General features: G+C 38.6%; 1 protein-coding gene across 4 annotated transcripts in view; it reads right to left on the bottom strand.

The window, feature by feature from the left end:
- CTH (cystathionine gamma-lyase) overlaps positions 7850-13500 on the bottom strand; it is a 28584-nt gene continuing 22933 nt past the window's right edge. For all 4 annotated transcript variants that reach the window (NM_001902.6, NM_153742.5, NM_001190463.2 and 1 more), the window contains 3 exons: positions 12524-12576; positions 8875-9013; positions 7850-8600 (listed from right to left, as the gene is read on the bottom strand). In NM_001902.6, coding sequence (NP_001893.2) covers positions 8574-8600; positions 8875-9013; positions 12524-12576 — 219 coding nt within the window. In that variant the 3' untranslated portion in view covers positions 7850-8573. The remainder of the gene's footprint in view (positions 8601-8874; positions 9014-12523; positions 12577-13500) is intronic.

Below are 13500 nucleotides of genomic sequence, written 5' to 3'. Positions count from 1 at the left end.
GAGGCTGAGGCAGGAGAATCGTTTGAACCTAGGAAGCGGAGGTTGCAGTGAGCTGAGATTGTGCCACTGCCCTCCAGCCTGGGCAACAGAGCAAGACTCCATCTCGGGAAAAAAATAAAAATAAAAATAATAAAAAATAAAATATTTATCCAGGTACTTACGAAATAGTAAGAGCTAAAACAGAAAAATTGGCCATTATTATTACTAGATATCTGCAATGGCTAATTTTATGCATAAATTTCTCTAAGCCATGATGCACAGATATTTGGTCAAACAATTATTCTAGATGTTTCTGCGAGGGTGTTTTTGGATGAGTTTAACATTCGGTGGACTTTGAATGAAGTAGTTTGCCCTCCACAATCTAGTGGGCCTCATCCAATCAGCTGAAGGTCTAAATAGAACAAAAATCAGCTTCTTTGAGCAAGAAGGAATTCTCCAGCAAATGGCCTTCTACTTGCAGTTATCTGGGTCTCTAGCCTGCTTGCAGATTTTGGACTTGCCAGCCTCCATAACTGCGTGAGCCAATTCTATACACACATGTGTGCACACACATACATCCCAGTGATTCTGTTTCTCTGAAGAATCCTGACTAATACACAATACCTGTAAATATGATGACATTATTAGGTACAACTTGTAAAAATGAAAATTGGAAGATATGTAGATTCCTATTATCCATTATAAGTAAATGTTCCTTTAATTTCAATATCACATGAGACTTTCAGTTATTAAGAGCAGCAACAACAAAAACAACAAAAGAAAAACGGGCTTAATATAAGAACTAAAAAAAGGGGAAAGAAGAGGAGGAAGAAGAGAGAAGGAGAAGAAATGCATTGGCTCATGTGACTGACATGTGCTGGCATATATCCAGCTTCTGGGATAATTAGATGCACATCTCAAAAAATATCACCAGGGTCCAGTTTCTGTCCACCTCTCAGAGATGCCCTCTTCATGGGGTTTCATTCTCAGATAGAAGTTCTTCTTGTGGTGGTGAGATAGATATAGCAGCTCCACATCACACATTTTCAGGTTCAAGTCACAAGTGAATAAGAATGCATCTTTTCTGATAATTCCCATAAAAGTTATGGGACACACTCTTCTTTTTTTTTTTTTTTTTTTTTTGAGACGGAGTCTTGCTCTGTCACCCAGGCTGGAGTGCAGTGGCGCCATCTCGGCTCACTGCAAGCTCTGCCTCCCAGGTTCACGCCATTCTTCTGCCTCAGCCTCCCAAGTAGCTGGGACTACAGGCGCCTGCCACCACGCCTGGCTAATTTTTTGTATTTTTAGTGGAGATGGGGTTTCACCATGTTAGCCACGATGGTCTTGATCTCCTGATCTCCTGATCTGCCCTCCTCGGCCTCCCAAAGTGCTGGGATTACAGGCATGAGAGACTCACTCTTAATGGACTGACCTAGAACAAGTGTTCATTCAAAACCATCACTGTGACCAGACTAGATATGTAGATTGGTCTTGGTTAATCTGTGCTCAATGCTGAGACTCCCCACTAAACTAGTGATTGAAAATGAGGACAGAGTAGCTTTCCACTGTATATATGTTGCCTGAAAAAGGTTAAATGGATGCTAGTCAGACAAGAACAAGAGATAACCACTCTAATTGCTTAACAAAATCACTCTGCAATTTGTGTTATTTTGCCTTCTACAAAGGGTATTTGATTTTTGAGAACCAAAAGCACAAGAGGATACCTGGCATTAAATATTTTTAAATGTTCCATGCTAAAAATTCATGCAATATGAAAAACATATAACAGGAAATTTCCTTTCTTTGCCGTTTTATGACACAAACAATTTCAAACCTTTCCATAATATTACAATTGTCGTTGTTGCTATTTGGTGATGATTAAGCTTTAAGCTTGCTTTATATTTTCAAAGTGATCTACTATCATTTGTATTAGCTACACATATGTATGTATATGTAATTTTATGTATCAATTTCTCTAGGTCATGGCATCTAGAAATGCCAGTCAGGTCTTCTGGCATTTCTTTCTCCACTATTCAATTTTTTACAAAAAGCCAAAAAATTATCACACCAGTTGGTTAAAACAGCTTGTAGCTAGGCTAAAATGAGAACCACCCTCCAACCCAGGATAACCAGTCTGTTACTTAGTAACAACAACAGAATATTCTAAATCTAAACCACGACAAGATTTAGATGGACAGTTTTATTTGCCATGATTCCAATATTCAAAATACTGTCTATATAATTTAGAGAAAACTTAAAAGTCATATACACAAAAACTTTGACAATGGTTTTTACTAAGCCAAAGGGATAGATAACAATTATTGAGCACCTAATGCATCCATGCTTTAAATGCATTATGTCAGGAAACATTATTAGCCCCATTTTTCCTATGAGGAAGAACATTAAAGTTTAGATAGTTTAAGTTTAAGGTCAGCTAGCTGGTAAGCACCAGAGCCAGGTTTTGAACTTAGAAAGTCTGATGTCTACTTTTCTGTTATGAAAGCCTATTAAAGGCCAGGTGCTGTGGCTCGTGCCTGTAATCCCAGCACTTTGGGAGGTCGAGGCGTGTGGATCACCTGAGGTCAGGAGTTCGAGACCAGCCTGGCCAACATGGCAAAACCCCATCTCTACTAAAAATATAAAAGTTAGCCGGGCGTGGTGGCAGACACCTGTAATCCTAGCTACTCGTGAGGCTGAGGCAGGAGAATAGCTTGAACCTGGGAGGCAGAGGTTGCAGTGACTGGAGATCGTGCCACTGTACTCCAACCTGGGTAACAGAGGAAGAATCTGCACCCCACCCCAGGAAAAAAAGAAAGCCTATTAAAGACCACCTTTTCCTCCTAAATCTCTAAACTCTCTAGAAAAAAAAATTACTTTTAGTTTGGACAACATAGTAGGACTTCATCTCTACAAAAAATTAGCCAGGCATGGTGGCACATGCCTGTAGTAAGCTACTCAGGAGGCTGAGGCAGAAGGATTGCTGGAACCCAGGAGGTTGAGGCTGCAGCAAACCATGATTGCACCACTGTGCTCCAGCCTGGGTGACAAAGCAAGACGGTATCTCAAAAAAAAAAAAAAATTACCTCTGCAAAATAGAAAAACATTATTACAGAAGGAGGGAAAGAAGAAAAGAAGGAAAGAAGGGGTGAACAATTTCATTATACACCAATAACCACAACATTATAGCCACAGTTACTTTTTTTAGGCTAGTTTATAGAGGTTGTTAGATAAAATGGGTGAGACATAAATTACTACCTATACTGGATGCTATAACACACCATTAAGGTTCCCTTTACCAGGCCCCAGCACCAGTCTACCCTCCACCAGAGAACTGCCATCTGCTGACTAGAGCCACTTCACCAGGAAGGTTTCCCATGCCTCCCCCTTCAACTTCCCTGTCCCTCCCCATCTCCAGCTCATAACTAATGGTTGAATAATACAGGGCTATAAAAGGCCAGCCCCCATGTCCCCAACTCTGCAGCACATTTATTTCAGAGATCACCTCCTCAGGAACAGGCCAAGGCTAGAGTTTGCTTGGCTCTTTCATTCAAAATAAAATAAGCTATGTGAATAAAATATATGTCCATCTTTTACTACAAAGTCTCCATCTTAATCTCTTTCCCAACTAGAAACTAGGGTTTGCATTAATTATGATGCCTTGATCACATGGTAACAATTCTTGCAATTTCAAGAGGGTGGTTTGCTAATCTGTTTGAGAATTGTCTGTGCTGGACTAAGAATGGTGCACTAGCACACAGAAGTAAGAGATCTGAAGTCCAACATTCTAGCCCTGCCTCTGCCACTTATTTTTGCTAGTCAAATGATGTGGAATGGTCACATAATCATTCTGAACCTTCCTTTCCTTCTCTGTAAGAAGATGGATTATACTTGTCCCTTCTAATTCAGCAGGTAGGTGTGAGAACAGCTGAGCTAGTAAATGAAATAAAAAATCAGGCCCGATTTTTTTTTCTAATTGAAGAAACCAAGATATAAATTACTGTAAAAATAGTAATGAAGTCAGAAGACTCTAATCCCTAGAACTATGCTATATGTGTTCTATTAAAGGCACACTATTCAAAAGACAAAGAAGTTTGCAATATCTGACAGTTCTCGCTGTAATAAATATAAATTTATTTTGTGAGCAATAAGTCAAAATTGAATCAAATGTGTTTATTTAAAAGAAGACATAGCAATCCTTTCTTCAATTTAAAAGCAATTTCATTTTTTATTGCACTCATTTTTTTCTAAGTAAATGTGTATTGTATTGTGAAATAAATGAAATCAGGGTTTCTTTTGTTGTATAGAAGTGGAAATTCTTTTTTAAACAATTACTTTTCTTTGGATAATTCCTAAGAGAAGTTTTATTTTGAGTAATACTTTTGTTACTCCTTGATGACATTTTGTTTAATCATGTTTACCATCTTTTGTTATTTCTTTCAATATTGGCCTCCTAAGAGATTTGTTATGAAGCATTTGTGTTCCCTTTTGTGTTTTTCTAAAGTGCATTCCAAGCTTTATTTTTTTTTCTCTGAAATTTTCTTCAGCTCCACTTGAGTAATTAAGTGATCATATTGTTTTCACTTTATAAAAATACTATTAAGATTTGCATCTTAATAGTATTAAGATTTGCATCTTAATAGTATTAAGATTTACATCTTAATAGTATTAAGGTTTCCATATTTCTACAAAATAAATTTGTAGTTTCATACTGTTTCCTGGCTCCTCTGTGGAATCAGGTCATTTAAGGCTACTCTGCTGTTAAAAATGATGTCTTAATTTTTAAAAGATATTCCAGATTCTACTGTTACTTTCTTATTTACTCCTCACATCTCAGAGCTGGTCATCTTCAGCAAAATAATCCAAAATAATGAACAATCTTATCCATTTTACTTACAACAGAATTCACTGAAAAACTAAAGGAAAATGCACTACCAGGACACTGAGAAGAATATGATGCATTTCTTTTATGATGTAAATTGAAAGCAGCTGGAAGTTAGCTATGTAATGAACTCCCAGGAACAAATACATGAGCAAATTGAGTCACAAACGAATGTCACACTTTACAGAGTCCACAATAAAGTTTTCTCTTACATGTCATCTAGCTGGATCAAATACAAACATGATGCTGCGTGCCTACTGAAGATAGTACCCACTGGCTTTGGTGTGAGACAGCAGTCTCACTCTTAGAATTTCAACAGTGAATGTAGTGAACAGAAGAGCTGATGGAATTTTGCATAATGTGCCTTATAAAGCAACTCAGTGAAAATAGCGTCCTGAAGGCCTGACCTCACCTAACCTGACCAGAATGTCCAGTTATGTTCCCTCTACAAAACCAGATGGACTGTGAAGAAGTTGGGACCAAGTGTTAAATAGGGAATCCTCATCTCAGTGTGAACTATGTTAATGGTGGGAGACATGGTTGCAGATAACCAAAAGCTGTGGATAAAACTCAAAAACCCTAATAAACATAACGGTGTCTTCTCAGGCAGTGAGGAACAGTGCCTAGAACATGGTTGTGATGGTTAATTTTATGTGTCAGCTATGATGCCCAGTTGTTTGGTCAAACACCAGTCTAGATGTTGCTGTAAAAGTATGTTTTAGATGTGACTAATATTTAAATAGACTTCGAGCAAAGGAGATTAATCTCTATAATGTGGATGAGTTTCATGCAATCAGTTGAAGGCCTTAAGAGCAAAGACTAAGGTTTCCCTAAAGAAAGCTATTCTGCCTCAAAACTGCATCACAGAATCTCTGCCTGTATTTTCAGCTGAATGGTCTGCCCTGCAAATTTCAAACTCAAGACTACAATAGAGTTTAGACTTGCCAGCCTCACAATCACATGAGCCATTTCTTAAAATAAATCTCTATCTCTCTATTTTTCTCTATACACACACACACACACGCACAGGCCCTACTGGCTCTGTTAGTCTGGAGAACCTTGACTAACACGATGGTAGTTACTTACTGCTCACCAGAAGCCCTAAGAGACTGAATATAGAAATGGACAGTGGCCATGCCATATGTAAAATTAGAAATTCGACCCACAACCTGCAGCAAGCTGCCCGAGAAACCAACACCCTCATCAACAATAAACAACCCAGGAGATCAGCCTGCTGTAAGTCAGAATTGCAGGAAACCAGATTGCTTTCTTTAGTGACAATCCAGGAAGCTAAACAATAACTTGTGTAACAATTGGCCCAGAATCGTCAGGAAATGAATGAATGACAGTTTCTTTAATTTTGCCCCTGCTTCCAACTTAGGACCAGAGAAAGCCAAATAAGCACCTTAGCAAATTGCACAGGATGCCCCATCTAGAGGCCAAAGCAACTCCATCTTGGATGCTAATCTGCCCTGTTAGCTTCTGATTAACCCTCATTCCAATTTATCTATTTGAACCTTGTTTAAGAGCAGGTACTTATTGTAAATCCTGCCCTTAGAGTAAGACACCTTGATAAACTCATACATACAGTAAATCCTGCCCTTAGGTCAAACAGCTTTGATGTTATCATAATTGTCTTACAAATTCCTTTTCAACCACTCCTCTCCCTATGGCATAAAAGTCCCAGGTCTTGGGGGTAATTATGCTGGGATCCACCAACTTGCCTCATCACTGCCCAAGATATAGTCACGGCTTCTGTTCCTAAATCCCTATTAAATGTTTCTTTCTAAGAAACTGGGTGCCTCTTTGGCCTCTCAACTTCCTTAGACTTTGATGTAGGATTACACAGACCTGCCCACTGTGAAACACTGACTCCAGTCAACCTGCTTCTGGCTTCCCTATGCCAACAGTCTTCAACCAGGGCATATCTGAAGGCTTCCCTTTTTTCTGCTATAAAACTTTTCCACCCATCTGCCCGCCTTTGACTTTCTGCCAAAACCCAGGTGATGGTGGCTAACTCCCTTGCTATAGTAAGCTAAGAATAGCCTTTCCTTTTCTCATTTGGTTGATCATTTATTTCCACAGCCCTAAGGCCTTGAGATGGCAAGAAATCAGTTCTGGCAGAAACCATAGTGAGATAGGACCTGCCTCAAAATGCTACTGCCTCTAGAGACAGAATTTCCAGACTCAATAGGTATAACTCAAGAGTGTGGATAATATAGAAGAATGTATATTTTTATGTATTCTCCTCCTAAACAGCACTGTTATTCATCAGGCTGTATGATATTATTTTAACCGAAACAAATGGCAATATCAAGATATATTATAAGATGAAAAACCTTTAGTATAAAAACAATTTTTAAGATTTAATTTTTGACTTATGGCTCAGATGATAACTTGCTAACTATACATTCAACTATAAAATAGTCTATTTTATTATTTTTTTTAGAGACAGGGTCTCATTCTGTCGCCCAGGCTGGAGTGCAGTGACGCCAGTGCAGTCTGGAACTCCTAGGCTCAAGGAGATCCTCCACCTCAGCTGTCCAAGTAGCTAGGACTACAAGGACGTACCACCAGGCCCAAAAGATTCTATTTTTAAACATACCTTCTTTTATTCTCAACAAATGCACTATTTCAGATAAAAATATAAAAAGTACTATTTATCTGTAAAACGGTGGCCTTTAACCTACCTTGGATAGGATTTATAACTAATCTGCAAACACTAAGATTTGGGAATAATATTTATTTAATTGAATTTATAAAAATTAACATAAAAGGCTAAGACCTCTAAGAGCAGTAGTTGGGAATTAAAAGGACCCAGGAATATAGGTTAATGTCACATAATGTAGGAATATCACAATGGGATGCATTTGATAATTAGATTTTTTTTTTTTTTGAGACGGAGTCTCGCTCTGTCACCCAGGCTGGAGTGCAGTGGCACGATCTCGGCTCACTGCAAGCTCCTCCTCCTGGTTTCACGCCATTCTCCTGCCTCAGCCTCCCAAGTAGCTGGGACTACAGGCACCCGCCACCACGTCCGTCTAATTTTTTTTGCATTTTTAGTAGAGATGGGGGTTTCACTGCGCTAGCCAGGATGGTCTCAATCTCCTGACCTCGTGATCCGCCCGCCTTATCCTCCAAAAGTGCTGGCATTACATGCGTGAGCCACCGCGCCCAGCTGATTTATTTTTTTAAAAATATTAAGTATAGTCTTAAATCAGTAGAATTTCACAGTAAACTTTTCAAGTATTTGATTTTCGGCTTATGGTAACTAAGTGTAAACCATTGCTTTTAATGTTCTTTTCAATGATATGCAAAAAAATCACACTTGATTTAAGAACATTCGTTTAAATTTAAATTCTTCACAAAACATCAAAAATGAATTACCATTATATTATAAACATGATCAAAATAAATCTTAGACATGAAAAAAGAACATAATCTCCCAAAGTAGCACAAATCTCACCTCCTTCAGAGGCAAACATAGAGCAAAATTAACAAAAAGATATTAACAGAATTGACCTGTAATTATAACATGACATACAGAAAACTTTTTAACAGAGATGATCCCTAAGAAAATTACAGTTATGAAAGATAATGAGGTGCCTTAAAATTTCCGCTTGAAAATTTTGCAAAGGCTCATTGTTGGTCCATTTAATTACTCAGGAAGATTTGATCTTCACAGGAAGCAGCTTCTAATAGCAGCTCTGGAATACTAGCTGTGACTTCCACTTGGAGGGTGCTATAATAACAGTGCACAAGAAAAATATGTTATTAAACATATAGGCCATAGCTTCAACTCCTCAAGAAGTCCTTTTTCTGAATACTACCATCCTTTAAATATGCACTTTGACTGAGCTCCCTATACGTTTATTTATACACCTGGTCTATTACAGGAACAGAAAAGCTTTAGAGTTCACAGTGAGACCACACTTTGTAAATATAGTGACCCCCCATGCCCAAGATAAAGCAGACACACACACACACACACACACACACACAATAATAAGACTTACTGCTGCCTTCAAAGCTTGATCTAGATCTTCCAGTAGGTCTTCCTCATCCTCTAAGCCCACAGAAAGTCGAATCAGTGTGTCACTAATTCCAAGGACATCTCTGTCATTCTTAAGAACTGATGCATGAGTCATGATTGCCCTGAAAGAAGACATGAGCAAATTTTTGATCACTATATTGTGTCAGTGGAGGCATGTTTCTGTCTCATAAACTGCAATTACCCTCAACATTTTTCTGGTCCAAATATCAAATTTTGCATACCCCTATAATTCACAGGCAAAAAAAGAGAAAATTACGAAACTTATCTCTTCTAGCTATGATTTTAAATGAAAAGCAAGATTGTTTTTATCCTGTTTATACCATTGGTAAGATATGCTCAATCCAAATACTGAAAGTGTGTGTCAAGTACCCCCATGCAGTAGGGTAAGGCATAGCCTCCCCAATGTGTATATTTTAATACCTGCCTAAATGAAGTTTGGCCAGAAATCATGTACTCCATGACCAACCTACTGGATTGCTACTTATAAGAGGTCTCTTGGACCAAGAGCCTGTCATAATTAGTTTCCTCTGAATCAATCCAGAGCTAGACCTTCTGAGGCACATCGGAGAAAGATGACCAAGAATCACTAGTAGCAACCAGTAAGCATTCAGAATTCCACAATATAACTCCTGGCATAGAGGCCTGGAAGGATTTTTCAAACGATCTAGCAGCCCATTACCATCATCAACAGATGTAAAGGAAAACCACCCATAATATGTCAAGCACTGCAGTAAAAATTGGGAAACCAAGAAGAATGAGATATTTTCTTTAACCTAAATAACAAAGCAGGAGGTAAAAGCGATGACAATTCACAAAACAAAATAGTCTATATAAACAATGCCAAACAAGTATAGACAAAAAGACTGCCAAGTTCCAGGGAAGGAGAAATTTCTGTGAAGAATAATGGAGGAGAGGTTTAGCATCTTACTTAACCCCAGTATGTGTATTACAACCAACACTCTTCCTTTCCCTGCACACCACCAGCAAAATCAATACCTAAGCTGCTTTCTCCTCTCTTACATGAGAGCCATGGGGAAAAAAAAATCTCAGCTGTGGTCTGAGTGATGGATATCTTCCTTTGTCACTTTACTAAAGTGTTGTTTAGATACAAACATCCATCTTAAAATGTTCTGCCCTGGGAGACTCGTAATTCCTTAAAAGAGTGTGTACATGTAGAAATAAGAACTCAGGTCTCAGAGACCAACAAACTTGGGTATGAATCTTAGCCCTTCCACATACTGCCTATGTGGCCTTATAAAAGTTACTCATCCTCAGTGCCTATTTCCTTATCTGAAATAATAATAGATGCATCTACTGTGTGCTTACCATGAGACAGATACTCTACTAGGTGGTTTGTGTGCATTAATTCATTTTTTTAATGAATAAAAATTGGATATAACACCTGTCTTAAAGGTTTGTCACAGACATTAATTTGAAGGAACATGTATAAAGCACTTCTAAGCACTTGGAATGTAGTAGAGATGTCTAATAAAAGATAATAGTTCATAGTAGGTGCTAACGTTTATTGGGTACTTAGTATGAACGAAGGCATTAGCTTAGGGATTTTTTTCCCCATGTTCTCGCAACAAACCTAAGAGCTATGTAGAGTGTTGTCCACATTTTAAAATTGAGGAAATTGAGATTTAGGGAGGATGAGTAACTTTTCTAAGGTCACAGAGTTACATGTGTTGTGAGGCTGGGAGACTAAGCTAATACACATTAGCTTCACTTCCTTCCTCCCATATTGCAATGCTGCACTAGTAGCAGCAGAGTTGGGAGACACAGAATGAAGGGTGATAGAACAGACAAGCCCTGACCTAAATCCACTCATCCTCTGGCATCGGGGTTATAGCCTAAACCAGAGTGTCTGGGGGCCAAGCAACTTTAAACAAAAATCCCTAAATAAATCAGGAGAGATTTATTTTAAGACAATTTTTTAAACAAGAGAGTCTTAACGTAATACACATTTCATTACTGTGAAAAACAAACCCATTTCACATGCTGAGTGTGCCCTCTTGTGCATCCAAACTTACTAGCAGGCATCTTCCGGAAAGACTAACAAAAATCTGCGTTACATGAATTATTTCAAGTCATTATTTAGACATCTTTTTTTTTTTTTTAACTTGGTGAGACTGCCTGACTTTTGGTCTAACTGTAAACTCCTATACAAAGACAGAAAATAGGCCTAAACTTTGGTGGGACCTGACATTTCTCCACACAATGCTTGCAAAACAAGTTATTCCATAAATGTTTATAAAAATGAAGACACAGAAATACACCGTATACATTTAGTACAGTTAAAAATAGTTAGGTTATGATGTTGACTTAACCCTGCAGTAATTACAACATATGGTCATAGTAGCATATAATAAAGGTAATATATATATCAGGAATGCTTGGGGGGACAGGTAATCAATAAATGATAATCATTAATTTTTTGTTGTTGTTTTGGTTCTTTTTTGAGACAGAGTCTCGCTGCATCACCCAGGCTGGAGTGCAGTGGTGCGATCTTGGCTTGCTGCAACCTCGGCTCACTGCAACCTCCATCACTTGGGTTCAAGCGATTCTCGTGCCTTAGCCACCCAAGTAACTGGGATTATAGGTGTACACCACCACACTCGGATAATTTTTTTTTTTTTTAGGAGAGACAGGGTTTCACCATGTTGGCCAGGCTGGTCTTGAACTCCTGACCTCAAGTGGCCCACCTCGGCCTCCCAAAGTACTGGAATTGCAGGCGTCAGCCATTGCACCAGGCCGAAAATCATTAATTATTAATCTCATTTTATGTGTTAAAAAATGGAAGTTTAAAGGTTAACTAATTGGTGGAAGCAGATCTCAAATCTAGATCCAAGCACCTTTTACCTCCCCTCACTGTTTCTGATGCAAATCCAAGAGTGAAGCTGCGAACACGTTCCTGTGTGACACTTGAGTCAATCAGCTCAACTTTCTGGATCTTTGTTTCCTTGCCTGTAAAATAAGCTGCTGGACTGTATGATCTTAGACTGCTTCTTGTACCAATATCCTCTGATGCTTTGAAAAAACTAGATGAATTGATTGGGTTAGATACTGAAGGGCCTGGTACCAAGTTAGGGTTTGGATTTATCTTGTACACAACATGAAGACATTAAAGGTTTATCCTACAGAGAACAGAAAACAAAAGATTTGACAGTATCTAGTAGGGCTGTTCTCCAACAATCAAGGGCATGGAGGAGTTTCATCAGAGACACATTTTCTGTTTCCCAAAGAGCCTTGAAAACAGCTTTTCTAGTACAAAGTCTCCAATCCCCTCTAAGGCTGAGTAGGGTAGAACATGTGGCCCTTGCTTAGAGGTCAGAGATCAGAGATCCTAGAATACAGTTACTGCTGGAATCTCTTTTTGACAGAGCAGGGAAGGAAGCAACATTTGGGAGGACACCGCTCACTAACAAGAAGCCCTCCATGAGATTTTATCAGGGTCTCCATCTTGACAGGGTTAGAGTCCATTCTGATTAATGTCCTGCTATTCTTATTGTTAAATATCTTGAATTATCCCTGACCTTATCATATTTCTTTCCCAATCATTAAAGCTGACATCAAATTTAAAATACTGAGAAAAACAGAACTATACTTACGGAAGCTCAGCAAGGCTTTCGAATCCTCCCAAGCTCTCGGCCAGAGTAAATAGCTATAGCAAAGAAAACATGAATTTAGATTTTCTAGTAAAATAAAAATACTAAAATCTAAAAATAAATGTTTTTAGGCCAGGCACAGTGGCTCATGCCTGTAATCCCAGCACTTTGGGAGGCCAAGTCAGGCGGATCACCGAGGTCAGGAGTTCGAGACCAGCCTGGCCAACTAGTGAAACCCCATCTCTACTAAAAATACAAAAATTAGCTGAGCATGGTGGCACGCACCTGTAATCCCAGCTACCTGGAAGGCTGAAGCAGGAGTATCACTTCAACCCAGGAGGTGGAGGTTGCAGTGAGCCGAGATCATGCCACTGAACTCCAGTCTGGGCAAAAGAGTGAAACTCTGCCTAAAAAAAAAAAAAAAAAAAAAAAAATTATTGCATTTGAGACTTTGCTCTGTGGTTACCACTTAAATAAAAAAATCTCTAAATGCTTCCCAAGTTATACATACTTCCTTGTTAATATATATCACTTATGAAATACATCCTTTAAATCCCTGCTGGAATAGGGGAAAAAAAAAAAACCACTGTTTTTATGTTGAGTGTGATAGTGTCATAAAACTTTACAAATGTTTTAAAAGTTACTTTGGTAAATGTATTAAATTAAGGTGACACCAGGAACACTTTGACTAATCTGGCAGCTTTCTGTTAATCTATTCTGTAGTATATAAACTGCATGAGCTCAAGGTTAAGCCCAGTGTATGGAGTTGGACAGGCCTCTTGCTCAAGGCCCCTGAGAGCCTCCTCCTGGCTTTTTGAAAATTAGACAAAGGCCTCACCCCAGTCAGATGCAGCTTAGGAGGCACAGGGTTTGGAAAGCCATTCACAGGATGGATTTTAGAACAGCCCTTGTGCAGTGCACTAACTGCACACTACTTCGAGGTTTTACCTATTTCATCTGAAAAAAGGGGTTCACTTTTA

The sequence above is a fragment of the Homo sapiens genome, chromosome 1, assembly GCF_000001405.40.
Source record: "Homo sapiens chromosome 1, GRCh38.p14 Primary Assembly".
In the NCBI taxonomy this organism is placed as follows: Eukaryota; Metazoa; Chordata; class Mammalia; order Primates; family Hominidae; genus Homo; species Homo sapiens.
The sequence above is the reverse complement of the archived record's forward strand: the minus strand, read 5'-3'. Positions and strand labels throughout refer to the sequence as shown.